This window comes from Homo sapiens, chromosome 6 (assembly GCF_000001405.40).
Source record: "Homo sapiens chromosome 6, GRCh38.p14 Primary Assembly".
NCBI classification, from domain to species: Eukaryota; Metazoa; Chordata; class Mammalia; order Primates; family Hominidae; genus Homo; species Homo sapiens.
The window spans coordinates 41,548,711-41,576,128 of NC_000006.12; the positions used below are offsets into that span (position 1 = coordinate 41,548,711).

General features: G+C 51.8%; 1 protein-coding gene across 15 annotated transcripts in view, besides 8 other annotated features; it reads left to right on the plus strand.

Annotated features, from left to right (window-relative positions):
- Nucleotides 1-27,418, plus strand: part of FOXP4 (forkhead box P4) — a 56,004-nt gene that overhangs the window by 2,330 nt on the left and 26,256 nt on the right. For 14 of the 15 annotated variants that reach the window (XR_926052.4, XR_926053.3, XM_011514289.3 and 11 more), the window contains exon 2: nt 17,035-17,254. Coding sequence is in view for 13 of the 15 variants with exons in the window: in XM_011514289.3 (XP_011512591.1) it covers nt 17,051-17,254 (204 nt within the window). In the remaining 2 variants the exon portion in view is untranslated. Of the gene's footprint in view, nt 1-136; nt 2,524-17,034; nt 17,255-27,418 lie in introns of those variants that run through there. The other variant, XM_017010233.2, reaches the window with a different exon arrangement.
- Nucleotides 6,421-7,421: an enhancer, noted in NCBI's record as "OCT4-NANOG-H3K4me1 hESC enhancer chr6:41522869-41523869 (GRCh37/hg19 assembly coordinates)". NCBI's record gives its function as "activates a minimal SCP1, AML or CMV promoter by ChIP-STARR-seq in naive H9 embryonic stem cells {active_cell/tissue: H9 hESC(naive)}" and the evidence as "EXISTENCE:reporter gene assay evidence [ECO:0000049][PMID:30033119]".
- Nucleotides 6,776-7,229: an enhancer, noted in NCBI's record as "VISTA enhancer hs281". NCBI's record gives its function as "enhancer in: midbrain (mesencephalon)[4/11] | forebrain[7/11]" and the evidence as "EXISTENCE:transgenic organism evidence [ECO:0001131][PMID:17130149]".
- Nucleotides 11,311-12,253: an enhancer, noted in NCBI's record as "H3K4me1 hESC enhancer chr6:41527759-41528701 (GRCh37/hg19 assembly coordinates)". NCBI's record gives its function as "activates a minimal SCP1, AML or CMV promoter by ChIP-STARR-seq in naive H9 embryonic stem cells {active_cell/tissue: H9 hESC(naive)}" and the evidence as "EXISTENCE:reporter gene assay evidence [ECO:0000049][PMID:30033119]".
- Nucleotides 11,986-12,035: an enhancer, noted in NCBI's record as "active region_24513". NCBI's record gives its function as "activates an Ori minimal core promoter by ATAC-STARR-seq in GM12878 lymphoblastoid cells {active_cell/tissue: GM12878}" and the evidence as "EXISTENCE:reporter gene assay evidence [ECO:0000049][PMID:35858748]".
- Nucleotides 13,196-14,138: an enhancer, noted in NCBI's record as "NANOG-H3K27ac-H3K4me1 hESC enhancer chr6:41529644-41530586 (GRCh37/hg19 assembly coordinates)". NCBI's record gives its function as "activates a minimal SCP1, AML or CMV promoter by ChIP-STARR-seq in naive H9 embryonic stem cells {active_cell/tissue: H9 hESC(naive)}" and the evidence as "EXISTENCE:reporter gene assay evidence [ECO:0000049][PMID:30033119]".
- Nucleotides 14,139-15,079: an enhancer, noted in NCBI's record as "NANOG-H3K27ac-H3K4me1 hESC enhancer chr6:41530587-41531527 (GRCh37/hg19 assembly coordinates)". NCBI's record gives its function as "activates a minimal SCP1, AML or CMV promoter by ChIP-STARR-seq in primed H9 embryonic stem cells {active_cell/tissue: H9 hESC(primed)}" and the evidence as "EXISTENCE:reporter gene assay evidence [ECO:0000049][PMID:30033119]".
- Nucleotides 20,080-20,980: an enhancer, noted in NCBI's record as "H3K27ac-H3K4me1 hESC enhancer chr6:41536528-41537428 (GRCh37/hg19 assembly coordinates)". NCBI's record gives its function as "activates a minimal SCP1, AML or CMV promoter by ChIP-STARR-seq in naive H9 embryonic stem cells {active_cell/tissue: H9 hESC(naive)}" and the evidence as "EXISTENCE:reporter gene assay evidence [ECO:0000049][PMID:30033119]".
- Nucleotides 20,981-21,879: an enhancer, noted in NCBI's record as "H3K27ac-H3K4me1 hESC enhancer chr6:41537429-41538327 (GRCh37/hg19 assembly coordinates)". NCBI's record gives its function as "activates a minimal SCP1, AML or CMV promoter by ChIP-STARR-seq in naive H9 embryonic stem cells {active_cell/tissue: H9 hESC(naive)}" and the evidence as "EXISTENCE:reporter gene assay evidence [ECO:0000049][PMID:30033119]".

Here is a 27,418-nt window from a genome sequence, read left to right on the forward strand (position 1 = left end):
GGTGCAGGGGCCGAAGGCCAGGCCCAGTGGACCCAGCCGCCTGAAGGGGAGCCACGGCCTCAGAAAACCTCTGCCCGCCCCCGCGGAAAACCGCTGTGGGGAAGTCTGAAGGCCTTTTTTTTTTTTTTTTTTTTTCAACTTGAGAAACTTTTGCCTCGGGGTTTTGGGGCTCTGTTACCTGGTGGCTGGAGGGAGGATACTGGGGCTCTGCTCTTGGTACCTGGACAGCTTGTTGGCTCCCATGGTGCCCTTTCGATCTGAAACTCAAAAAACTGTGAGTTGGGGGAGTCACTCACACTCTAGTCAGTGGGGCAAGGTGGCAAGGGGAAGAGGTGGTTTTGTGGTTGCCCCCTCTCAGCCTCCACACCCAGGGCCAGGGTGAGCGCTGAATCTCTCCTGCGGGACGGGACCCTCAGGACCCACTTTATCCTGGCTCCAGCCTTGCTACTAAGTTTGGGAGACCATGGGAGCCTTCTCTCCTGGCACCAAGGGCTGGGCGCCTGGGTGGAGTTTTCTGTCCTTCTCCCTGTCCTGGACAGGTTTCCCAGGAGTTACGGAGTTGGGGAACCCCTGAGCCCTGGAGAGAGAAAGACCTGACCCCAGTGCTGGAGAACGCCAGGGCCAGAGCATTTGCAAAGGGTCCCACTTGCAAAGGGACCTGCTCCTGTCCCTTTCTGTGTAGGGATCTTCCTCACACCTAGACGCCCCCAGCCCCCTTCCTCTGCCTTTAGAGCCGAAAACTTCCGTTCTGGCTGTAGGCAGGTAGGTCCCTTCTTGCCAGGAATGTGCATATCCTGCTGGGCCCCTACCCCAAACATACCTCTTCCTTGGTGGGAGGGAAGCAGAGGGACTGGGAGAGGAAGGCTTGCTTTTGATCCAGTAATTCCCCCAAATGTTTGCTGAGCCCCTACTCTGCCTGGGCAGGTCCCAGGCTGAGTACTGGGGTACCCAAGCAGTGAAGGCTGGGGTCTGCTGTCTGGACCTCAGATTGTTGGGGTAGGAGAGACAGATATCACATGGTGGGGGGGAGGGTGGAGGGGAGAAGAATGGGAACAGGGTGTCTGTTTCAGAGGAGAGTTGTGAGGTGCAAGGGGAGGGAAGGGTTGTCTCCCCAGGAAGCCTTCCCTGCATCTTAACCCTTCCTACCCCACTGCCTTGGCGGTTTCCTGTCTCTCCAGCCACAGTGCAAGCCCCCCAGTCCCATCCTAAGCAGGCACAATGTCTTTATTTTTTGAATAGCCTAAACTGTGTGAAATAATAATTTCTTCCATCCAAGAAACTCCTCACAGTTTCCCTTCTCACAGATCTTACCACGCTCCAGCTTCCCTAGACCAAGGCAGGGCAGGTACTATTTTTGACAGGACTCTCAGGCTCCGTTGGCTGGAATGACCTCCTCAGATTTGGTTCCAGAACTCTGGAACCCAGAGCAAGGAACTGAGGCCTCCCCAGGGCAGAACATGTGTCAGAGTGGAAAAGGCTTTGGAACTTGGCATTAGAGATGGGACTCTGGAGAACTTAATTAAGCTCTTCGAACCTCAATTTTCTTACATTGTAAAGTAGGTCATAATACCCACCTTAGAGATTCTGTTTGGGAGTTAGATGAGAGAGCAGATGTCAAGTACCTTGCACGGTGCCGGGTGCATGGTAGTACTGATCAAGGGATGGCGTTTATTATTAATTTGCTAGCACTGCCAGGCCACATGTTGGTTGAATATGGAAATACTGAAGTATTAATCTTCATTTTATGGGTTGGGAAAACGAAGTCCAGAGAGAAGAGGCAACTTGTCCAAGGTTACACAGCTACATGGTAGCACAGCTGGAACTAAAATATGGGGCCCTCGACTCCCAGTATAACCAGTAGGGCTTGAGCGTGTGCTGTGGTGAAGGGAGAAAGGAAGGGATGGGAGGAGCTGCCATTCCTCCCTCCTTCCTCCATAAGCTTGGCCTAGGCCGCCTGCCTTCTAGTGTGAATACTTTCTCTTTTCCCTTTAAGTGGAGAGGGGGACTGTAGGTGCAGAATCTGGTGTTTCCACCTGCACACAACCCTGGAGCATTCCCCAGGCACTCCTAAGGTTCTTGTGAGACACACATAAATGGGAGAGAGAATTCCCCAGAATGCAGAGGAGGAAAAATGACTGATAACCCCTCTCTCCAGAAAGGGAGATTTCTAGGGTTTGGAAACCCTAGCCTACACGTCCTTATGGAAGATTTTGGCAGCAAGTCTCAGACCAGTTTGGGACCTATCACTGAATGGATCATCTCAAAGAAGCAAAAGGAAACTCCCCTTGAGCCTGAAGTTATTGGCTCCCTTCAGCGTTGCCTCCCAGGATTCTCTGTGGAAATACACACCTTCAGTCCACTGCCAGTTCCACCAAGCCGGGATCACAGCGGGAACCCTCTTTCCTCTGAATTCTGCCACTTTGGATGCTGTGGTCTTGTGAGATGTTGCTCCTGGGCCCTTGCAGAGCCTGGACGCAGGGCACACCTGCCTGATCTAGAAAACAAGAGCTCCTGGCACAAAAGGTACACATCTGGACAGGGCCGCAGGTGTTGGACCGTGGAGTCACTGTTGCTGTGGTGTGTCGCCCGGGCTGGACATGCCTGGGCCTGGCGAATGCCCTCCTTGCCTTGATCCTGGTCCCAGGATCCCTCTTGAGATCAGGGTCTTTTCCCGGCTGTCCCTCTGGCACAGCCCTGCACCTTCCTTCTCTCCTGTCTGGATGGTAGCCATACAGCCGCCTGTTCCCTGAATCCCAGCTGCTCTGCCCACCTCCCTGGGCCCCATGCTCTGGCCAACTGGAGCCTCCACAGCCAGGCCTGATGGTGGGTGGAGCCAGTTGATAGTGCAAGATAGAGGTAAATGGTGTTTCCTTTCCTGCTGCAGTTCTGATGGTCTGTGACCCAGGCTACCATGTAAATGGAAAATGGGGCGACATAGTGGGTTTTCCTCAGACTAACAGTATGTAGAATAGAGACCATCCGGCATTTGTTCAAGGTAGGCAGGACTGGTGGGAGCAGAAGTTACTCAAGTAGCAGCAAAGGGGTGGCAAAATGATGGCGACTTGAAGGTAGGGTGGCTTAGGGAATGGAGCCAGGGACTCAGTAGTTGTATCCATCCTACGAACACACTGTGGAGCGCCTACTGTGTGCTGGAGGCCAGGCTGGTGAAGGGCAGCAGGAGGGACCCGGAGAAGGGGTGGCTCACATGCAACTTGGAAAATCAGAAATAGAACAAGGGCCGGAGCACAGATCTGTGGGCACTGGCCACCTGAGCCAGCGTGGGTCCTGAAACCCCCAGCTGAGACAGGACATGTGTGCCACCCAGAGAGCCCTTAGGAGGGCCTCCCCGTGTGAAATGAAACCAGGGGGTGGGAGGTTGGGGTAGCTTCCGTTCTCATCTCCTCAGCGGGGCTTCCTTGGATTCCATTCCCGGCTGGCTTTACGTTTCTAGGAGAACATTTCTATGGAGACCCAGGCCTAAAGAAGTTGCTTCAAAAGAGGGTGGCGGTGTACTTCCTCCTTTCCTTTGGGGTTCCCCTGCAGATGCACATCCGCATCCTGGAAGGAAGGGGTACACTAGGGAGAGTTTTGGGGAGATATGAAACATCAGGATTTGTGGGAGACCCAGCGAGAGGCTGCGGCTGTAAGCACTCAGGGAGCAAAGCGCCAGGCTTTTTGAGGCTGCGTCTCTGGATGGGAGCTGGAGAAGCTGGATGGTCAGGCCATGCTGAGGGTGTAGAGTTGGTCCACTGAGAGAATCCCTCCTTCAGGAAGCCTCTGAGCTTTCTTTCCCAGAGAGCCAGAGCTACCTGTTTCCCCTCCCCAGCTGAGCGCTCGCTTTGGATTGTTCCCTCAGTGAGTTTTTACCTTTTTAACTGAGCGCATCAGTTCCAGTTGCTGGAAGCTCCTGCATGTCTGAGACCTGAGCACAGGGATATAACACAAGGGGTTTTCGGCACTCACCAGACGCAGAGAAAAGAACTGCAGCTGGGCTAGCTCGGGCCGGCAGCTGGGGATCCGGAAACACTGGAAGAGGGGACGGCTCAGGCAGCATGGCAGTGTTTAGCCACAGAGAAAGCTGCCCACCGATTGTGCTCAGAGATGATTTTGTGGGTCTAGGCCTAAACAGTCTGTACCCACACGGGTACATGATGAGGGTCCCCGGTAAGCCCACTGCTGCCAACTTCCTAACTCACTCTTCGGCCTTAGGCATGACCCGTCTTCTCTCTGGGCCTCAGTTTTCCTAACTGTACAGTGGGTGAAGAGGACACCTGCAGCCCCACATCCTCGGGCTCACCATCCTGAAGCTGTGGGTTGGGAGCCAGGCAAGAAGAGACCTGAAGGTCTCAACGTACACCCTCTTTGTTCCAAGGGCATCGGGAGCCTACTTCCATGGGTCCTTCTTGAAAGGGGTGCTGTGGAGCTCGGGGCAGAGGACACTATGACCCATGCAAGTCTCCTCCTTCCCAATTAGGCAGTGGAGCCTGATTAAAAGGGGTGCTGCCTGCCCCCTCCCACCCGATCCCCATCGACGAGATTTCCCTTCATCAGAATCTCACATTCTCCAGAAATTAATTTGATGCCTCATGTTATCAATTAATTGAATCTCGTTGGGAGAGAGAGCTCCGCGAGGTGAGGCGAGCTTCAGCTTGGCCCTTGTGTGCCGCCATCCCCCCTCCCCCTCACACCAGGGCAGCCTTCTCCTCCCCCATTCCTTTTTTTCTGCCTTTCTTTTAATTGCACTTATTTTCTAAAATAAAACCACTGCTCTGTGCCCCTTTGCCCAGTTTGGCTTGGATGGATACCCATGGACTGGGTACTGGCTGGGATTTGCCCTTTCAGAGGTGGGGGCAGGAGGACTTCCCCTCCCCTGGACCCTGTCTGATCTCTCCTTAAGTAAACAGAATCTCACCCTTTGGGAATTTGGCCGTGATCCTGTGTGCTCCAGGGGCTTCTGGTGAGAAACTTAGGAGGACTAGGGGAGGGAGGAAGAGCTGGGAACAGACTGCACCCTAGTTGGGGACAGAGGAGGTAGAGAAGGACCAAGCTAGGGACCTTTTAACCCTCAGGATTTTGTCATTCAGAAGCTGCTGCCCCTGCCAGAACTGATCCATTAAAACACAGGGCAGAGGGCATAGGTGTGTGGTACCTCCAAGCCTCCCAACAGTCAGGTCAGATATCTGCAGGAACAAGCCCTCAGCATTTTCAAGGACACTTGGAAGCCCTTGCTCTGCCCCCTGCATGGAAGATGGGGGAAGGAAGTTCTAATAGGACATCCCTATTAGGAAACCTGGGAGGTTGTTGTGGCAGGTAGAGCTAGGTAGTCACCAGGCCCTGACTGAGGAACTGTGCTTTGCCGTTTCACATACCTCCTTGTTCTTATCCCCACAACAACCCTGAAAGATTCTCCAGGCAGTGGTAATTATCACTCTCATTTGATAGGTGAAGTACCCAGGCCCAGAGAGGTTACCTGACTTGCCCCGAGTCACAGTTAACTGGAACTTGCCTTTCTGAAATGCTGGCCATAAGGGCTGAGGTCACAAGTGGACTAACTTCATCCCTGCTGAGTTTTGTTGACCCACACACAGTTCATTACAATGGTAAATTTCACATAAATATCCCCACTTCTGCTCCTTTTGAAAAACCCAAGCCCTGTCAACACTGAGCCTGCATTTCTGTGTGGAAAGGATGGACTGGGATTGAGTGGCAGCTGCCTCCTCGTGCCCTCCTCACCTGGCCTCCTAAGTGACCAGCCTAGCCCCTGAAGGCATTTTGGTTAGCAGCTTTGACATGGAGATTCACCTGTCCCCAGTATTCCTCAAGGAGAATCTAGTGTGGGACAGTGTCTGAAGGACTCTGCAGGGTCTAGCCAGGCACAGTGGCTCATGCCTGTAGTCCCAGCACTTTGGGAGGCCAAGGCAGGTGAATCACCTGAGGTCAGTGGTTCAAGACCATCCTGGCCAACATGGCGAAACCCCATCTCTACTAAAAATACAAAAGTTAGCCGGGCGTGGTGGCAGGCACCTGTAGTCCCAGCTACTCAGGAGGCTGAGGCAGGAGAATTGCTTGAACCCGGGAGGCGGAGGTTGCAGTGAGCCGAGATTGTGCCACTGCACTCTAGCCTGGGCGACAGAATGAGACTCTGCCTCCAAAAAAAAAAAAGACTGCAGGGTCTGTACAAGAAGATCTCAGAGAGAGGACCTATAAGGACACCCTGACCCAAATCTAATTCCCACACAGCTACTTAATAACTGATGGTGGGATGGGCGCAGTGGCTCATGCCTGTAATCCCAGCACTTGGGAGGCCAAAGTGGGAGGATCAGTTGAGCTCAGTTTGAGACCAGCCTGGGCAATATGGTGAAACCCCCTCTCTACAAAAAATACAAAAATTAGGGTGTGGTGGCATGTGACTGTAGTCCCAGCTACTCGGGAGGCTGAGACCAGAGGATCACTTAAGCCAAGGAGGAAAGGTTGCAGTGAGTGAGCCGAGATCGCGCTACTGCACTCCAGTCTGAGCGACACAGAGTGAGACCCTGTCTCAAAAAAAAAAAGAACTGATGGTTGTGGGTGATTCTTTTTGCCTTCTTTCTACCACAGAGGTTAGGTCTTTGTACCATAAGGCCTTGTGTCTCCGGGGGCCTGTTTCAAGATGAAATCAGCGCATCCCTGCCAGGGTGAGCCCCTCTATGATAAAGTCATCACTTGCCCCCTACATCTGAGGAAATGAAGGGAGGGGCCAAGGCATGTCGGGGCAGGCTGGGCAGAACAGCCAGGGGCCCAGAAATGGCCATACTCAGTGGTTTGTCCCAGGCCCTCTAGAGCCCCTCCTGTGCCCAAAGGAAACCCTGGTGCCAAAGGCACCACCAGAACCAGGCTCCAGATGGCCATTCAGGCCCTGGGCGAATTGCCCCTACCCCTTAACCAGCAGGCCCCCCACATAAGACGTCACTATTTAATTAGCCGTCTCTGATTAACCAAACTTGGCATTCGGCTCCTCTTGCCCTCATCTTTCCCAGCTCCGAATCAATGGCTTTGATATGCTAATTAGGGAGTAATTTAATTTCAAAAGGCCGCAATTAACAAGGGTGTTGTGGACATGCTGTAGTTAAGCGGAGTAATCTAATTTGCATTAGTAACAAGCAGGGACTAATTAGAAGCTTAATTAGACACTTAGATGGCTCTTATGTTTACTTTCTTAATGAGATGGAGTGGGATCTTTGGTTCTCTTTCTTTTTTTCCCCCTGTATTGTTAATTCTTTTTTTTGGTCTGTGTAGTAGGAAGGGGTATTGAGGGAGGCCACCTTGCCAGGGCCTGTGGGAGCGTTTCAGGGATGGAGCCAGTAAAAGGTAAGGTGGAGGGTGGTGGTAGGGGTAAGGGAAGGCTTGGATTCCAGAGTGACTCGGGGAGTTAGGACGCGGGGAGGAGCACTGGTTTAGGAGTCAGGAGAGCCACCTGGTTTCAGTTTGGCTCAGTCACTTAGCAGTCAGGTAACCTTGTCAAGTCTTTGGCATCTTTGAAGTGTGGTTCCATCCTCTGTCAAAATGAGCGCAAAATTGCATGGGGGAGAGAGGAGGGAGGGGCTATAGGAAAGCACTCTTGGGGACTCTGTGAATGTTTTTTTTTTTTTTTTGAAATGGAGTCTCGCTCTGTTGCCCAGGCTGGAGTGCAGTGGCGTCATCTTGGCTCACTGCAAGCTCCACCTCCCAGGTTCACACCATTCTCCTGCCTCAGTCTCCTGAGTAGCTGGGACTTACAGGCGCCCGCCAACACGCCCAGCTAATTTTTTGTATTTTTAGTAGAGATAGGGTTTCACCATGTTAGCCAGGATGGTCTCGATCTCCTGACCTTGTGATCTGCCCGCCTTGGCCTCCCAGAGTGCTGGGATTACAGGTGTGAGCCACCGCGCCCGGCAAGCGAATGGTTTTTAACAATAAAATATATTCACAAATTGTGTGCCGAGGCCTTGCTGCGTCATGGCTCAGCTCAGAAGCCACCTCCTACAGAAAGCCTTCCCAGAGCACCCCTTACTCCCTCCAGGCTCCATGGTCCCCAGTGTCTAACATAACATTTGTAAAGCTGTGTGTGTTGTGTAAGACAGAAGTTCTCAATCCTGGCTGCACTGGGAATTTAGAATGCTTGGAAAGCTTTTTAAAATATCCACGCCTGGGTCCAGTTCCCTGAAGAGTGCGATTTAATTGACTTAGGGTGTGCCATAGGTATGGGTTGGTTGGTTTTTTAAAGCTCCCCAGATGATTCCGATGTTCAGAAGGAAAACTTACCTGCCCATTAGTCTTTCTCCTCTCTCCATTTCAAGCCCGGCAAAAGCAAGGATTACGTTTTGCTCACCTCCATTTGCCCCAACCCCAGTGCCCACTGTGCTCAGTATCAGCTGCAGGTGAAGGCTCCCTACCCCACTCTGACCTTAGGGAACTCACCCAGATTCGACAGGGCCTGTAGTGTTGAGTTGCAAATGCCTTATTCAGGCTCTGAGAATCTCCTGGAGAAGGAGCTGAGGAGAATTGAGGGAAATCACTAAAGAGGTTAGGGCCCGAGAGTCTTATGAGATGTGACTGCTTGCTAAAGAAGAACTGGGCAAAATTGGTATGAATTTTATGGGCATCAGTTTGGGAATGAATATATCAAGAACCTTAAAAATATGCAGTTCCACCTTCTAAACATGTATCCTATGCAACTAGTCAAAAATGTAGAGTATCCTGTTCCCATAGAGTATCCTGTTCCCATTTACTGCAGAGTCATAGTAAAACATAGCTAACAGCCTAGATGTCCAACTCTAGGGGATTGGCTCAATACATTCTGGAACATGCGGCCCATTCAAGCAACTGTGTGACCATTAGAAACTGTTGCTTAAAATATTTGACAGCATGTGGAAATGCTTATGATAGTAAGTGGTGAGTGGAAAAAGACGAAAATTGAAACCATGTATAGATTATGACCCAAATTTCACTTTTTAAATGTTTATATGCCAAAAGAGAGTGAGAATGGATTGACCAGAAAGGCTATATATCCCAAAGGGCTAGATCTCTGTAGGGTAGGATTATGAGTACTCTATTTTTTTTTCTTTTTTTCAAAATTTTCTACCAGGATGTCTCTTACTTTTAGGATTCAGAAATAAAGTTATTTGGAACTTGGGAGAGGACCTGGAACAGACAGCACAGGACGGCAGATTCACCTTACAAATCGAAGGCTTTGGTGGAGCCTTTCAGATAGGAATGTCTTTGCCCTGCCACTTGTACTGATCTCCTCCGAGCACCCAAGTGTTGTGCTAAGAAGCCTTGAATGGTCCCTAGAGTTGGGGTAGGCAGCTTCTAGGATGTCACAGTCATTGAGGGAGACTCCCAGGCCAGGAACTCAGGCAGAGATGGGGGTACAGAGGGAAGTCCAGCGTGCCAGCCTCTGACCCACACAATGAGGAGTGCCCAAGGAGGGCAGGGGCTTGGAGAGGGATTAAGCCTACTCTCGAACTCACAGAGCCCCATGTGTTTGGGGAGAGAAACTGCTGGCACGATCAGGGAGCCAAGCAGTGCGTGACTCACATCACCCACCTCTGGCTTCAGGACCTATTCTGGAGCTATAGCCACATTTTAACCCATGGGTCTTGACTCACTTTCTTCAAGTGCTGAACCAAGGGCTGGGAGAGGGGGGTGGGATCAATTTTTAAACCATAGCCCACTCAGGTGGGTTGTAGCAAGACTTTCTGGACTCCTGTAATTATAGTCACTACCCTTCTCTAAACATCTTCCTCATGCAGTGTGTCTTATTTGATACCACTGCAACCCTGGAAGGAAGGTGTACTGGCATTGGCCCCACATTACAGATAAGGAAACCAGGGCTCAGACTGGTGACCTCATTCCTCAATGTCACAAAGGTAGTAAGAGGCCAGGAAGGGTTAGCAGTTCATCTGGCAAATGAGTGGCTGGCTAAGTAAGCCAGAGGCCCAAAGTGGCCACTGCCCTGAAGCCCTCCCCTTACCTGGAGCCTGAAGCCAGAAGCCAGTGGGCCTCTGGGGCCAGGGCTGAATGGGGGAGGCTGGTCCCTGGGACTTTGGATTGGGAAGCATCCTGCAGTTACTTGTAGGGCCAGGGCTCGTTGCTCTGAAAAGCCCTCTGTTTTATATCTCTTGACACAAGTAAGATATAGCAGGATAGCTAGAAACAAACAAATAGAGAAAGAAGGAACTAGAAGACATCCTTGTGCTCTGGTATCCACATGTGTATCTTTTTATATAATCTAGAAATGTATGTATTTCAAAGGTTTTTCATTCTGGAAAAGTCTGAAACCGACGACCCTTCTTTTGTAAAATAAAGGCCTTTGCGTATGTTCTTTGCCCTGCATTCATTGTATACTTTGCCTGGCCAGTACCTACTCAGCCTTCATATCTAAGCATAAATGCCCTTTCCTGGCAAAAGGAGGCTTTCCCTGCCCCTCTCCACTTACCTTAGATCCCCATTTATTTCCTGTACTCACACTTGATAGAATGTATCTGACTTGGGCTTCTCCATTTACTTGTGTATTTAGTTAACATTTGTACACTCTTCATGGGAACATAAGCTTCACAAGAGCAAGCCTGTGTCCTGCTCTGCTGGAGTCTGCATACACAGAGCCTGGCACACTGTAGGTACTTAAACATTGGTCGCACCAATGAATGGATGAAGGGTCATTGCTGGTGAAACATGCTCCTGGCCAACCACTGGAGGAGAGAGAAGCATGACTTTGTTCATGGCTAAAGCCCCACTGGTTTTTAGGAAACTTGTTTTGAGGAAAAACAAGTGCCAGGTTTATCTAGAAAAAAAAGAGAAGGGGCTAGGACCTCCATTATTACCAGTCGCCCTTGCTGAGTCCTTTACCTGCAGCTCTCAGAGCATCTAAGGACACTGCTGCACTGCCTTGTTCAGTAGCGTCCACATTTCACTTTCCTTCAGGTAGATCCCCAGTGCTTAGCTTAATGGGGCCCTAAATACATGTTGAATGATTGAATGGCTTTTGCAGATATATCATCTAGTTTTGCCCAGCAGGAAACTCATAACTAAAGTTAGTGTTCATCATTGGAGCCCCATTGCCTGGGACAACCACCATCAGCATCACCTAGGAACTTCTTAGAAATACAGATTCCCAGGCCCACTCCAGACCTGTTGGGTTAGCAACTTCTGTTGGGGCCCAGTAATCTGTGTTTTAACAAACTCTCCAAGGTAACTTTGATGCACTCAGGTCTGCAACCCCCTGATTTAACGTTGTGGTCCGTCATTCTCATCTTCTACTCCGTGCTATTGTATTTTAAGAAATCTTACCTCTTATTGCAATCTGCTTCCTAATCTTTGTTGGAATTATAAATTATAAAAGAGATGGCTACATCTAGTCCAGTTCTCCCCATTATACAGAGAAGAAAAGAGGAGAATCAACTTGCTCCAAGTCACTCTAGTAGGCCAGGTGCAGTGTCTCAGGCCAGTAATCCCAGCACTTTGGGAGACTGAGGAGGGAGGATCACTTGAGCCCAGGAGTTGGAAACCAGCCTGGGCAACAAAGTGAGACTCTCCCCCGCACCACCACCACTCTGAAAAAAACAAGTCATTCAGTAGTAAATTGGTGTTAGCGCTGGGGCTAGACACCAACTTACAGGGTCAGGCTGTCAGCTGGGCCACGTCCTGCTGTCTCCCAGACTATATTATAGGTTTCTGGAGAACTGGAAACGATATCTTATTTAAATTCCAACCGCCACCATTGCTCTGGGTACGGGCTACCTGTGGTCGTTCCCCACCCGTGTCTCCCTTAAGAACTGGGGCCTCATCTCCACTCCAGCTGCGCGTGCACGTGTGCTCCCGGCAGGACGCGCGCCCAGGAGCGCGCTGGGGGCTGCCCCGCCCCTCTCTCCCTCCCCCGCGGGTAAACTCCGGGCATCCATCAGTCTGTTAATTGCACTAATTAGAGATCGCAGAGGTGTTAATTGGAAAACCCTGGTATTGTGCCTGTTTGGGGGAAGAAAACGTCAATAAAAATTAATTGATGAGTTGGCAGGGCGGGCGGTGCGGGTTCGCGGCGAGGCGCAGGGTGTCATGGCAAATGTTACGGCTCAGATTAAGCGATTGTTAATTAAAAAGCGACGGTAATTAATACTCGCTACGCCATATGGGCCCGTGAAAAGGCACAAAAGGTTTCTCCGCATGTGGGGTTCCCCTTCTCTTTTCTCCTTCCACAAAAGCACCCCAGCCCGTGGGTCCCCCCTTTGGCCCCAAGGTAGGTGGAACTCGTCACTTCCGGCCAGGGAGGGGATGGGGCGGTCTCCGGCGAGTTCCAAGGGCGTCCCTCGTTGCGCACTCGCCCGCCCAGGTTCTTTGAAGAGCCAGGAGCCTCCGGGGAAGTGGGAGCCCCCAGCGGCCCGCAGACTGCCTCAGAGCGGAAGAGGCAGCCGCGGCTTTGACCCAGCTTCCTTCCGACGGCATCTGCAGGAGCCTCTAGGCCTGACATAGGCTCCGAGGTGCCCTGGCTCCCCCACGGGGAATGCTGAGGGTTGGGCCACTAGGTCCTGCCTAAGTGCAGGACCTGAGCCTCAGACAAATCCTGGACCTGCCAAAATAACTCGGCCTCCGGTGCTATCTCCCATTTGCCCCCAACATGTGGTAGGAGAGGCATATGGAAAGTCTGGGGTGGGGGATAAGAGCCCAGTATTAGCGAACCTTAGACCCCTGGCCAATCCCTACCTTATTGTATGGAGGCAGAAAGAGCACCCCAGTGACTTGCCCAAGGTCACACAGCTGAGCCTAGAAACCAGATGGTCTAATTCTCAGAGCCTCTGCCTTCCTGTTCCGCAGGTGTTCAGCTGCTCCTTGCTGAGGACCTTGGTGGCTGGGGGAGGAGCATGGATTGGGAAGATAGGGGTGTGTAGAGAAGAAAGGAGGACCTCTTGGAGCTTGCCCCTCATTACCAGAGGAAGCAGCTCAGATCTACACTGGGTGGAGTCCACTGTGAAAGGGACCCGGCTGTGACTCCAGCAGACCGACCATCAGTGCCTACCAGTATTCACTTAAGTACTGTGGTTTCATGTCCACATGCCAGACTGAGAGTGAGAAGAGACCTTCAGGACCACCTATTTGTATAGAGACAGGGAAGTAGAGGCTCAGAGAAAAGGGAAGGCAGAGGATTCACAATGGTGTGTGGCTGAGCCCAGGCCCCTGCCTGCTCCCCTAGCCAGGGTTCAGGCTCCTGTGGACACTGACTTCTCCTCCATACCCCACACCCTTGTAGTTACAGGGGACTGATAATCAAGGCCTCCCGCCAGCACCCTTCCCCATCCTGTCTTTAGCTGACTGGGTCCCAGGCACCCAGAGCCTGCTCACCCACAGTGCAGGGAGCACACCGGTGCTGTCGCGGCGCCCTGTGGAGAGGTGGGCAGGAGACATGAGGCTGCTGGTGTGCTCATCCTTGGCGGGCAGGTATCCCAGGGCAGAGGTGAGAATTCAGAAAGCACTTCGGAGTGCCTGTCATGCAGGTTTGGGGGGTATGTTGTTAGGTGGGCGGGAGCATGGAAGGAGGTGTATGGGTGTGTGTCAGTGGGGTAAAGACCCTGGAGGGGGCAGAGCATGCCACATGGGAATTAATGCCATTCACACACCCTGCGGAAATGACTTTTCAAATGCATATAATCTCAAGCATGCAAATGAGAGGCTTGCTTCACCCTGTTTAATATGAATGATCGGCCCCTGAATAGCTATTATTATACACCACATTGCAGCAATTATGTTGTTCACTGGGTGTTACTCTGTATGCCCCCCCCATAAAAAGAAAAGAAAGGAGCACCTCTGTCTGCATCCTCCTCCTTCCTTCTTTCTCTTTTTCCAAACTTACTGTCTGATCTGCAACTTTATGATACTCCTTGAGTGTTGGAAGGGGGCCACTCTCCCTAACCCCAGGGAAGTAACTGCCAGATTCTCTTTCCTTTCTCCTTTGCATGCATACACCCCTGAGGCTCTGGTCTTTGTCCCTTGGGGCCCAGGAGTTCTCAGATCTCAGAGAAGCTAGACTTGGAATCAGAGCAGGCAGCTGCTTTCCACCACCAGCAGAGCCAGGGTTGGGGGAGAGGCCCCCCTCCCTCCTGTCTCCCCATCCCCCTCATGTAACTGAGGCCCAGGCCCAAGTGGGGGAAGGTGCTGCTGGCTGGGTGGTTTCAGGGGAGGGTGATGGAGCCCTGTGCTGTGGCAAGTGGAGGATGGTGCCCACCCCATCCATCATTTCACCGCCACTAGCCCTCAGGCTGACATGGCCATTAAGGCCTGAGACCGAGTGCTCAATCTCTTCCGAACCATCACTCCCATCCTGCCCTTACTCCAGCCCAGCTCCTCTCAGAACTTAGGAGTGGAGCAGTGGCTGGGTTGGGGGAAGAGCAAGCCCTTGGGAACATACAGAGAAATTCACAAATACAGGGCACCCAGGAGGCCACTCAGACTTACTGGGACAGTGACACCCAGAGTCACAGATGAAGAGGGGCCACAGGAACAGGGATGTGGCTTCTGTGGACCCCTTGCTGTTCTCTATCTCCTCCCGACTCTGCTTCCAGCCAGGATGAAAGCTGAGCAAATGGCTTGGTAGAGTGAGGGAGAAGAGTTCTTCTGGAGTGAAAGGAGAGAATTTGGGAGTGGGAGGGAAATGCTTTGGGGAGCTGCTGCCTTGGGGAAGGAACTAGAGAAATCACAGTCCAGTCTCTTTCCGCAGTTTCTCATTGTTACCTACAAGGCCCTCATCTGTCAGTCGGGTCAGGGAGACCGTGTGGTTATAGGGTGTGCCTAGGCCAAAAGAGATCGAATTGGGAGGAAAGAAACTGGCTGGCTTCCACGGGCCTTGCTAAATGCTCATGTGGCTTCTATCCCTCGATGATCTCTGTGCAATCTGGGCCAAGTCCTTGACCTCTTTGGGTCTCAATGTCCTCACCCTTACAATTATGGTGGGTGGAGAAGGCGCTGATCAATATTGGGGGCTTGCTCTGTCAGGTGCCATGTGCATGTTTATTTTCTCCTCAAAAGACTTGGAGGCTGGGATGAAATATACTTGGCTCTCTTTATCCGCAGGTTCCACATCCGTGGATTCAATCCACCACAGATGGAAAATACTGTACAGTATTTGCAGTGTGCAGGACCCACAGATAGGGAGGGCCAACTTTTGTATCCATAGGTCCTGCAGGACAAACTGGGAGGCTTGAGCATCTGGAAATTATGGTATCCACAGGGATCCTGGAACCAATCCCCCATAGGTGCCAAGAAACATTGTCCTACCACAGACAAGGAATCTGAGGGTTGGGGAGTTTAAGATGGATCAAAAATCAGTAGTGGATGCCAACCATGGTCTGACCTGTTTGACTGAAATCCATGTTCCTCTCAAGGGACTGTGACTCGGGGGTAGTTGGGGAGCCCCCAGAATTTTAGAACAGCTTTTCATACTAAAGATATTGGAACCTTGTCAGGTGCAGTGGTTCATGCCTATAATCCCAGCACTTTCGGAGGCCGAGGCAAGTGGATCAGTTGAGGCCAGGAGTTCGAGACCAGCCTGGCTAACATCTCTACTAATGGTGTTGCGTGCCTGTAGTACCAGCTACTTGGGAGGCTGAGACAGGATAATTGCTTGAACCCGGGAGACGGAGGTTGCAGGGAGCCGAGATTGTGCCACTGCACTCTGGCCTGGGTGACAGAGCGAGACTCTGTCTCAAAAAGATAAAATGAATAAATTAATTAAATTAAATTTTAAAAGCTATTGGAACCTCTATGAGTTATAAGAAGAAGCTTAGGCCTCCACCTCCTCCTTACTGTCCTGACCATCCCAAACACATACCCTCTCTTTCTAGGGGGATGTTTCAGCCACTCCTTGAGAGGCATTTCTGGGGTCAGGGGATCCAGACCTTGACTCTTTGCCTTGGGTATGTAACCTAACTCTCTGGACCTTCGGTTTTTCCATCTGTAAAATTGGCGTGATAACTCTCTCCCACAGTTCTCATGAGGAGAAATCATGGTTCCTATGGAGAGTGAGTTAACCTTACTGAGTGTCTACTTTTGACCAGGTGCTAGGCTGAGGGCTTTAAAATGGAAGATGGAAGGTGGAACCAGGGCTTCCTTCACTGCACACCTCCATGACGAAGCCCAGTGTCTGGCTCCCAGTAGGTGCTGGGCAAGTGGCAGCCTTTTTTATGGAAGAATAATTGTTGCTTTGGACCTTCTGTGGCCTGGGGAAGGTCATTTGCCCTGGGATGGGAGCAAACACAAAGTCCATTTCAGGTGGGGGTAGGAAGGCAATAATATGATAGGTTCCTAGTGAATAACTTTTGTCTTTGCTTTGTTGGTGTAGGTTTAAGACCCAGACGGGGGCTAGGCACTGTGGCTCATGCCTATAATCGCAGCATTTTGGGAGGCTGAGGCAGGCAGATCACCTGAGGTCAGGAGTTCGAGACCAGCCTGGCCGACATGGTGAAACCCCTTCTCTACTAAAAATACACACACAAAAATTTAGCTGGTCGTGGTGGCAGGCACCTGTAATCCTAGCTACTCAGGAGGCTGAGGTAGAAGAATCGCTCAAACTCGGGAGGCGGAGGCTGCAGTGAGCCGAGATCGCACCACTGCACTCTAGCCTGGGCAATAGAGCGAGACTGTGTCTCAAAAACAAACAAACAAACAAACAAAAAACCTAAAATAGCCCTTCTTCATGTCATTATTATAAACAGTGCAAAACCTCAACTGGGGCAAAAAATCCTCACCCAGAGGGGCAGTGCAAGGGCTTTGTCTCCTCCCTTCCCCACCCCAGCACGAGGTCTCCTAGAAGTCAAGAAAACATGGTTGGGGGTGTGGAGCCACCCCTCACCTGGGGGGACATCGGGAGGAGCCACATTCCATCAGGCATCCCAGGAGCAGCCTCTGGGAAGTTGAGGAGAAGTAGATGCCCAGCTACTCCTGTGGCGATGGTTATGTTTTTGGGGGTCAGCAGTCACTGCCCTTTCAGCCTTCAGCCTCAGCCTCTCCCCTGTGTCTCTCTTCCTCCTCCAGGTACCGCTAGAGCGACATGATGGTGGAATCTGCCTCGGAGACAATCAGGTCGGCTCCATCTGGTCAGAATGGCGTGGGCAGCCTCTCTGGGCAAGCCGATGGCAGCAGCGGCGGGGCCACAGGGACAACTGCAAGTGGCACGGGCAGGGAAGTGACCACGGGTGCAGACAGCAATGGTGAGATGAGTCCCGCAGAGCTGCTGCACTTCCAGCAGCAACAGGTAGGAACTGGTGCGCCTTGGGGTATCTGGGAGCGGGAGAGGGGCACTAGGCTGCATTCCACTTCATCCTGGCTGCTGGAGCACCACTCCCTGCCAGGCAGCCTCACTTTACCATTCTTAAGACAGTCCAGCCTCCAAGGACTCCCTGTCCACCCACCCATTCTGGTGGCCACCTTGAGCCTAGGCTACCACAGCATTTTCAAGAGATAGAAGTGGGACTCGGAGGTCTGAGATCATGAAGCTTGAAACTGTCCCAGAAATGCCAATAAGAAGAGACAGACACACAACTGGGCAGCAGGCTTGAGATTGGCATGTTGGATTGGTGGGCACTCCACTCTTCACCTGCACACTGGCTAGGAAACTGGCTAAATGAACAGGGTTAAGAGGGTGCTGTGCACACAGGGGGATCTTCACATTATTTCTGTTGCAAAACATTATCTGCCTCCGAGTCAGCTTGGGCCTCCATTTCCAGCAGTGAAGAGAGGCCCAGGCAGCTGGGTAAAGGCCAAGAGAGGTAAGCAAAGACAGGCCTCCATTTTTAGGGCTCAAACTGGGAATCCCTGTCTGTGTCTTATATTTCCTCTTCCACCCTAAAGTGCAGAGTTCGGGAGTTTAAGACCAACCTCTCTGAGGATCTAGAGGCACTAGGATGGGTCTAGATCTGGTTGGGTGATGACAGAGCAGGGGTCTCATGTCCTGGTCCCACCTGGGGAAAAAGGGAGAGTCATGCTCAACAAGTTGAGGAGAACCTTCCCAGCCAACAGCCCTGGCCTTGGGATTCTCTTTCTCTGATTTGACTCTGCTCCTGGAATCACTGCTGGTGGTGCCGGCCCTTGAGTGGGGCAGGGGGCGGGGTATGCTAGGAACATGGAGAAGCAGGGCTCTGTGTGTACCTCCCTGCTCAGTAGCCCACTCCTGCCTCATGCGTGCACACGTGTGTGTACCACAGTACCCTCATGTGCTCCTCCATGGCCCTGCTGTCTCTCCCAAGTTCACCCTGGGACTCTGCACTCCTTCTCCCACAGCCCAACTTCATAACCCTTAAGGGGCCTTTTCCCATCATATTCCTTGGAGCCAGAAGTCAGACTGGAAGCAACACCATCAGAAGCCTGACTCCCCTGCACAGAGCTGGTCAGCCAGCGCTAAAGCAGGAATGGAAGAAACCTGGTTTAAGTCCCAGCCAGCCCATTAACCAGTGGCATGACCTTGACCAAGTCATGAGCCTGCCTGAGCCCTGGCCTCCTTGGCACCTAAAGTACAGAGTTGTTAGGATCAGGTGCAATTTGGGTGTGCAACACATGCAGCTCATTTGTTGATGTGGATGTGAGTGGAACAGAGGACTTCAAAAATCACTTTCTCTTGCCAGCAGTGGAGACTGGAGCAGGGAAGGGCCTGACTCCCTTCCCTAGGGAGATATTCTTCAGGAGTTTGCTGGCATCTCCCAAGCCTTCCTAAGCACGTTCTCTGGGGAAGAGACCCACAGAGTCTGTGCCATTTGCTGGGGACAGAAGGTTAAAGGGCAATATCCTAACCTTTACCAACATAATAGCAAAACACACCCCACCAGAAATCTCCAAGGCCACCCATTTTATATGGCCAGCTCTTCCATCTCTGTGACTGTGCAGACAGAGTTATGAAGAATTTTAAATGTAGGGGTTGGGGAGTACTGAAACTGGAAAGTTTCTTTTAAAAAATTTCTGAAAATGAAGAACGGACACAGTTCTCTGGATAACTGGGGAAATGTTTAGGGTGGGGAAAGACAGAACTGTCTGTACTGATCAGGTTTCTTGGTTCTGCGTTGCACATGAGCCATGTTTTCCCATCTATATTCCACATTCCAGTTATTCCTGTTTGTTTTGGGGAATATCCCACAGTCCTGGAAAATCCTATATCTGTTTCACAAATAAACTGGGGTGGGGAGTTGGAGGCAGGCAGAGGGCTGTTTTATCCATTTGGGCTCACTATGGGCAGAGTGCCCAGGGCCAAGGAACATATTTGAGACTTAAAAAAGGTTTTGTTGGCTCCAAACTATGAAAAGAACCTTGCAAAATTAAAATTACAAGATTTCCAATTAAAATGAAATAGTCCATGGGCTATTCCTCTGCCCTGAATGTGTGAACGAGGCTTTTGGGGGAGCTTCAAGGGTAACATTTTCTGGTCCCCAACAACAAATGTTCCTACTTGTAGGATAAACAAGTATGGGAAAGAGAGCCTGGCCCTTTGGGTTCCTGCTCCTTCTCAACCTCAACCTGAAAGGACTTAGAGGACAAACCAATGCCTTTCGTCTCTGGTGCTTTGGGGTCTTCACATATGCTGTGTTGTTATCTCACCATCCCTGCAAGGTGGATATTATTATTCCAGTTTCACAGATGAGACAGCCAGAGGTAGGCACTGAGTTGTCAAGATGGCACAATAAAGGCTGCGTAGACCTCACTCTCCCAGTTCCTAGTTCAGGGCTCAGCACACCTGCCCCTTTGCTGCTTCTCCATCACACAGTCGCTGTGGGAAATGGAGGCAGCGAGGCCTCGAGCATAGTGGATGCTAAGGAAATGTCTGTTGATGAGTAAATTAGAGCATTTCATTTCCAACCTGAAAGGGTTCTGTGATAGAAAAGCAACGCTGCCCGCTGGCCCTAAGTAGCCACTCTAGTGCCATCTGCAAACTCGATAGGAAGTGGGGTAGGAGAGGGTCTGTGGACCACACGCTGGTCCCATTCTCCTCGTACTCTCTGTGGCTCTCCAAGCTCCTCTGCCTTTGTCTGTCTGTTGGTCCTTGTCCCTCTGCTCTCAGTAAACAAGCCCTGGAAATGCAATCCTGGCCTTTGGGAGTAATGAGTTGACAGAGAGGAGAGAGATAAACAGGGCGAGTCAGAAGTCAGGCCTGTTACAGGACTTTAGGCTGAAACAAACAGTGCTGAAGAGGGTGGCCACGTCACTTTGGAACAAGAGCAGGCACTTGTTTCCATGCAACGAGCAGGCTGGGAGCTTGTTTAAACAGAGGCTGGGGGGTGACCTGGCTTGGCTGCCAGGCCAGGTCTGACTAGAGGGAGAGGGTCCTTGGCTGGCTGCCCCATTTCAGCCCTCAAGGCCCAGCTTCCACCTCCTTCATCCCAGCCTGGTCATTGGTGAGTGACAGAGCCATATCACCTCCACGCTGTCTTTGGGGCTTTCACCAAGTCTGCAGTCTTATGCCCTATGGGGAATCTGTCTACCCTGAGGAGAAGGTGCAGGAAGTACAGTAGGCTCTGGAGCAGTCAGTCAAGCTGCAAACACACCTTCAGTCTTACTTTGCACTGGGCTCCGTGCCGGCCAGCTGGCATTGGTGATCCCCAGCTGCTGTTAAAGAATACCCTAGACCATAGACACACCCGTGGCCCATCCGTCCCCTCCCTCGCCAAGGCAAATGCTTCTACCACAGTGCCCCTCCCTGCATTTTACCCTATGGGATGGCTCTTTTCTTCGAAAGTTGCCCTTGTGTTTTATTCTAATCTGATTTCACTTGTATGAAAATGTTCCCAGTGTGGGGATTTTCTCAGGGACCCCACAAATACCCTTAGGACTCTCTCTGATAGGGGCCATGAAGCCTAGGAGAAGTGTGTGCCAGATTTTGGGAGGGGAGGTCTTGGGGGCTGGTCTGGGTGCGCTGGCCAAGTTGGGGCCAGGAGGGCCGAGCTGGTGGGGTGGAGGCAGGCAGAGCCGCTGGCGGCGGTGCTGAGGCCACGCTGAAAGGCGTCCTGGGCCTCTGGAGTGCGCACTCCCATTGTCCATGGGTTGCGGGGGTGACAGGTCAGCGAGGGTCACGGGAGGGTTGCCTAGCGTCTGGGAACTCCCACTGCAGTTGCCGTGGCAACTGGGCCAAATCCCATCCCGTTCACATCCTGTGAGGAGATTCAAAAGGGTTGGGGGGCTTTGCACATTAATGGGCTTTTACCTCACCCCCCCTTCAAAGAGATGGGGGGAATGTCAGGCAGTTGGGGGAGGGGAGAAGAAGAATGGGAGAGATTTTTCTTTCCTTTTCCTCCCCCATCTGGGCCTCCTCTGCCCAAGCTACTTAGAGGGATGACAGCAGGGGAAGGGGAGGATTCAGAGGGTGAATTTGCCCCCCACCACCCCCTGACACACACACACACACACACACACACACACACACACACGCAGTCAACAGTTGTCTTTGGTCTGCAGGTCCAGGGCCCATTTCTCTTCAGGACTGCTGGCTGTGTGCCCCAGATTCTACTGTTTCCTGTCTGATCCCACACCTTCTGCATTCTCCTTTTTCTTCTGGAGAATGAGCCCCTCCCGTGGAGGAGCCATGGCATGGAGGGAGAGTTGGGGCCCGCACTCTCCAGAGGGGAGGCTTACGGACATCACACCAGTTCATACCAGCTGCTGGGGAATGCTCAGAAACTGCCCTTTCCTCCTTGGCCTGACACAGTGAGAGAAGGACAGGTGGGAGGTGGGAGGAGCTGGGGAGTGCTGTGGCTGGGAGAGGGCCTTAACCATCCCCCTTGTTGTACCCCTCCCAGGTCCCTGAGAGCCAAAGACCGCCCTGTTTCCTATGTTGGAAAATTCCCCTAGGAGGGCAGAGGGCGGGGCTGGGGCCTGGAGGAGGGATCTGCAGACCCCTGCTTTCTTGGGACTAAAAGGAGCCAGCCCACTCTACCAGCAGGAGAGCCCCCAGCTTCCCTCCTAATATGGAATTCTGAAATCCCTCTTCTTCCCTCCCTCACCTCCCCTTCATGGCAGAATTCTTTTCCCTGCTGATTAGAACTGGGGATACAGAGGAGAATTTGGGGAAGGGAGATGAATGTTCCTTCTGAGAAAGGATTTATCTTGAGGATTGAAGTGGGGAAGGCTGCATCCTAGGGTCACCTCATCAGGGCAGAACTTGGCCTGGAACCCTCAGTGGGAGAGCTGGCTTTTCCCCTGGGGGAGCACCTTTATTCTGAGAAGGCCCAGTAGGAATCTTCAGGACGAGAACTGCATCCCCCACCACCACTGCCCCCACTCCAACCCTACATTGCAGAGGTGGCTAGAGTGAAGCGGCTCAGAACCCAAACCCCAGCACAGACCCACTTCCAGAGAACTCCACAGATACTGGTGGGAGGGATGTATGTCTGGTAGCCACCTCCAAATGCCACCAAGAATGAGGAAAGTGATCACGGGAACTTTTGCATCACTGCCACTCGGTCACCCACCACCACCTTGGTGATTTCACCTCCTTGCTGGAGGTCAGAGAGTTCCTTCCAGGCACTGAGGACTCTCCCCCTCATGACACCCTGCAGAGCTGGTTTTGGCTGCAGGAGCTGGATGAGCCCTGGGCTGCATCATTGCTAGAAGCAGGCAGAGGCCGGGCACTGCTGGTGCGAAGCCTGCCTGAGTTTGAGAGCAGTGGTTCAGGGAATGGAGAGAATGAAGGAGCCTTTTGAAGGATCGCAGTTCCTCATCCACGCTGTTGAGTTCAGCTGTAAATTCTCATCTCTCTGAGGCCAGAAACTAGTTCCTTATAGAGAGGAGGCATTTTCAAGGCACTTGGTAGGGAAGGCGTCCTGAAATCGGGGCTGTACACCCAGGATGTGAGTCGTCTCCCACCCACGTGGGCCTGTCTGTGTCTGTGCGTTGCTGGTTTTCATTTTAATGGTTCTAATTTGAGAATGCGCCGATGTCATTTTTACGAGGTTGGTGTAAAAAAATTTACAGCCTTTTCCAAAAAGCTTTTTTTTCCCAAGGGAAAAAAGTGCGGAATAACTTCAGGGGTTTTATGGTCTCCTCTCCCCACCTTCCTTGTCCCCCCTCTCTGTGTAATTTCATTTTTATGTCTCTTTGCTGGAGGACAAAGCCTGGCTGGTCAAGAACTTTCCTCCCCCCAGGTCAGTTCCCTCAGTGGTCAGGACCACTAATCTCTAACTCCTCCTTCTTGTACCCCTTTCTTCCACCCTCTGGTCCCTGAGGAGTTGCATTTTGAGGGGTAGATGAAGCGATATTCCTTCTTTACTTTGAACCAGTGAGTGCTTATTAGGCATCCATTGTTTACCAGCAGTAAGTATCTACCCCGAAAGACTGTATCACTTCCTACTCAAAATCCTTCAGCGATTTTTCAAGTGTATAATGAAATAAAAAATCATTGTCCCTGTGTAATCTGGCACCTGCACACCTCTGGGACTTCTTCTCAGGCCACTCTTCTCTTGGCCACACTGGCTTTTCAATTCATAATGCACCCAGCTTTTCCCACGGCAGGGCCTCGCACCATGTGTTCCCTCCACCTCAGATACTCTCCCTTGGAAGAGTTGCCTCCTCCTGATGTTGTGTCTCCTCAGAGAGGCCTTCCCTGGCCACACACCCTAGAGCCAGCCAGCCAGCCAGCCTCCATGGGACACTCGCCACCAGCTCAGAGTTTGCATGTCTCTTTGTGTAGTGTCTGTCTCGGCCCATTAGAACGTGAGCCCCGTTAAAGATGCTGAGTCCCCAGTACTGAGGACACTGTGAGTGCCCTGTGGGGCTTAATAACCACTCATTAAATTGTTAAATTAATAGTCATGCTGTGGTTCTGGAGGTAAAGGTAATAGGCTTTCCTGGGGATGCTTTTCTGGCTCAGAATGGGGCGAGGTGGGCCAGCACCCTCAAATACCCTTCTAGTCCCTTCTTTTCCTAAATCCAGCCAGTTCCCAGTGAAAATTAATTATGGAGACAATTTAGATAAGATTGAATCCCAGTTTTGCCAAAACCAGCCAGAGGCAGACAAAGGAAGTTTGGAGTTTGTTTGTTTTGGCTGCCCCTCACCACAATCCAAATTAAACCAGAATTTGCTAGTACCTCCTCCATCCTGCCCAGCCAGCGCTTGGTTTCTCTTCCCTGTGCAGAGCCCAGTTTCAGGTCTGGTACATTCAGGTTCTGCTTTTGCCACTGTGTCCCGTTGGGCAAATCATTGCCCATCTCTGGATCTCTGTTTCTCCATCTATCAGTGAACTAGAAAATACCTATTTTTTGACCCACTAAATTGATATTATGACCCACTACTGGGCCATGAGCAGCAATTTGAAAAATACTGGACTAGATACCCTCTAACACTTGCAGCTCTCCAGGGGTTGTGGCCCAAGCTCTTCGACTTCTCATTCTCAACAGCCTTTCAAGCTTGTCTCCCTGATTATCACGTCCCTGCCCTCCTGCACACACAGAGAATAAGGCTGGCACCCCAACACAGATCTGGGATCCTCCAGCCTGCTGAAAGGACTGGTAAATAGCCCCGCACCTGGCTTCCTGAGAGAGAATGACCCCTCTCCCACCCCCCACTCCACCAACCCCGAATTCCCAGAACCAGAAATGGGAGTGTGGTCCTATCCTGGAGGGGAGAGAGAGACCCCATAGCACCGAGACTTGTTTTTCTATTCATAGCAGCTCCCTGTTGCCCTCAAAGCTACAGCTTCATTCTCCACCATCCCAACCGCCCTCCCTGGATGCCATCCGTTATAAGCCATTTGTTCCTAATTGCGGAGATCCTGCTAATGACTTCTGAATGGGGGATGGGGGGAGGAGAGTTCAGCTTCATTAGCGAGACTGAGTTCTTAAGCTTGAGGGGGAATGGGGGCTGGGCTGGAAGAGGGTTTGGTTAGCAAGGCCTTCTGGGTGGCACCAGGCAAGTGACCAGGAGCTGCTGGTGAAAGATCAATCATCATAATAGCGTTCGTCCAGGACCTACTGGGTGCCTGGCAGTGTGCTAAGTACTCCATGTGCACAGTCCCACATGCTGTTCCCAGGAACCCCATGAAGAAAGTATGGGGTTGTTCCAGTTTTGCAGAGGAAGAAACGGAGGCTCAAAGAGATGGTGACTTGCCCAAGGTTACCCAGCATACGGTGGAGCCAGAACTTGGATCCAGATCTCTCTTGACGTCCATGCATGAATGGACAGTACACCTCCCTTAGAGGAAAACTGGACATCATCCCCAAACCACAGAGCTGGACATTTGGTTTTCAGTCCAAGGGGTAGAAGGAGGAAAAAAATGAGGTTCAAGAGGCCAAATGGCTCCCAGTTTTCCACTCTGCCTAAGCCCCCTCTTCCTCCTCCCCTAGGTTTTCCATAATGGCTTCTTCCTGGTGTGGGTATCTGAACACCTTTCTCACCCAGGGCTGTGTTTGGGTATCTCTTGCCCTTAGGGAAGGGAAACTGAGCCCAGTTTTCCCCTGGAGTTTCCTTTCTTGGTCTTCTTCCTCCACCTCCACCATCTTCACTTCCCCTTCTCACTGGAGGGCTGAACACATGCAGATTAGGGGGAAGGCAGATTTGAAGGCCTCGCTGGACTGTGCATGGGATCATGGAGACCCCTCAGTGGAGTAAGCCCTGAGCAGTCAGAGGTGTTTGGACTCTGCCACTTCCTAGCTGTGGAACTTCAGGCCTCAGTTTCCTTGTCTGTAAAATAGGGATATCAATACCTGCTCCACCTAGCTCAATGTTGTGAAGCTTCAATTAAATGTTTGAAAAAGTGCTTTGAAAACTGCAAGGCAAATGTTAGCTGTTAAGTTTAGTGTCAGCCTGTGCCAGCCTCCCGTATTCAGCCTAGACTAAAATGAGTTTTGTGAGTGGGTATCACATGTCTGCTGTGTGCTGGTGGTTGGAGATGGGGGTTCACAGCTACAGTTGACAACATCTGTGCTTTCAAGGAGGCCCCAGTCTGGTTGGCATATTCAAAGAAAGTGGGGCTGGGGATCTGCCGGAGTTAGGACCCATTATTTCCCACGTCTCTCTGAGGTGGGCAGTCCAGTGATCTCCAGGCCGCAGTGCCAGCAGGCAGTGTGAACACATCTGGTGCAGCAGCGTGGTCGATGTGACCCTCCTCGTTCACCGTGTTAACTCGCCCTTCAGATGGCGAGACTCCAGTTAGTGCTGCCACCACCTCTGGGAAGCCTTCCGAGACTTCCCCAGGTAGAAGAAAGCCTTCTCTGACCCCTGGCACTCACCCCCACTTCAGGCTGACTAGTTTCTTATCATTCGTGTTTTGTTTTGTTTTGTGTTTTGTTTTGTTTTGTTTTTTGAGATGGAGTCTTGCTCTGTTGCTCAGGCTGGAGTGCAGTGGTGCCACCTCGGCTCACTGCAAGCTCCACCTCCCGGGTTCACGCCATCATTCTGCCTCAGCCTCTGGAGTAGCTGGCACTGCGGGCTCCCACCACCACGCCTGGCTAATTTTTTGTATTTTTAGTAGAGACGGGGTTTCACCATGTTAGCCAGGATTGTCTTGATCTCCTGACCTCATGATCCGCCTGCCTTGGCTTCCCAAAGTGCTAGGATTACAGGCATGAGCCACTGCGCCTGGCTATCATTCTTTATATTAGAGGCTATCATCACAGAACCTGAGCTGTGAGCCCTGGGGGGGCAGAGGCCACATTCTGTTTCTGTGTATCCCCAGCCCCTAGCCTGGTCCCTGGCACGCAGCAGGTACTTCATAGATGTGAGAAGAGTGGTGAGTGAGGACCCATGTATGAGAAGGAATGGTGGGAAGCTGAGGGAGGGGAGCCTTGGCCAGACCTAAGGTCTTACCTGGCTCTCATCTGGCCTGGTCTTGGCAGGAAGAAGGAAAGGGGTTGTGGGTAGGGGGTGTAGGGGGAGGAAGGGCCTGTCACAGGGAGGGGGAGGTCTCAGGAATGAGACTGCAAGGCCTTGCCATTTTTTTCCTGTAAATCATGTAATTTCATGCTCCAGGGGACCACAAAGTAAGAGAGTCAGTGGGGAGTCAACTCCCCTGGCCACCCCCCACCCCACCCCAGGAGACTGAGCAGGGCTCTGCCCCCAACTGCCCCCAGGAGCCCCTCCCTGCTGTTCCCTCCTGTCCCCCGGGGATCTGGAGTGTGTCATCTCCCCACCCCAACCAGTGTCCCTTTTGGGTCGCCTGGGCTGGCCAGCCTCTCTGAGCCATCTTCTTCCCCTACCCTTGTGCCCTGGCCTCTGACCCCTGTACCCCCTCAACCCTACTCTACCTCCACCTTTGGAGGACAAAGAGCACTTGTCAGTAGACCTGGAGGAGTTTGTAAAAGCAAGGTAGTAGAGGCAGGGGCTCCTTCCTAATGACCACCTGACTCCCTGCCCTTCCTCACCCGCAACCCCCCCCCCCACCCTTCCTCCTCTTTCCGCAGAGCCTTTTGACTTAGAAAGGTCAGATTTCTGCTTTCTGAAGTGAAT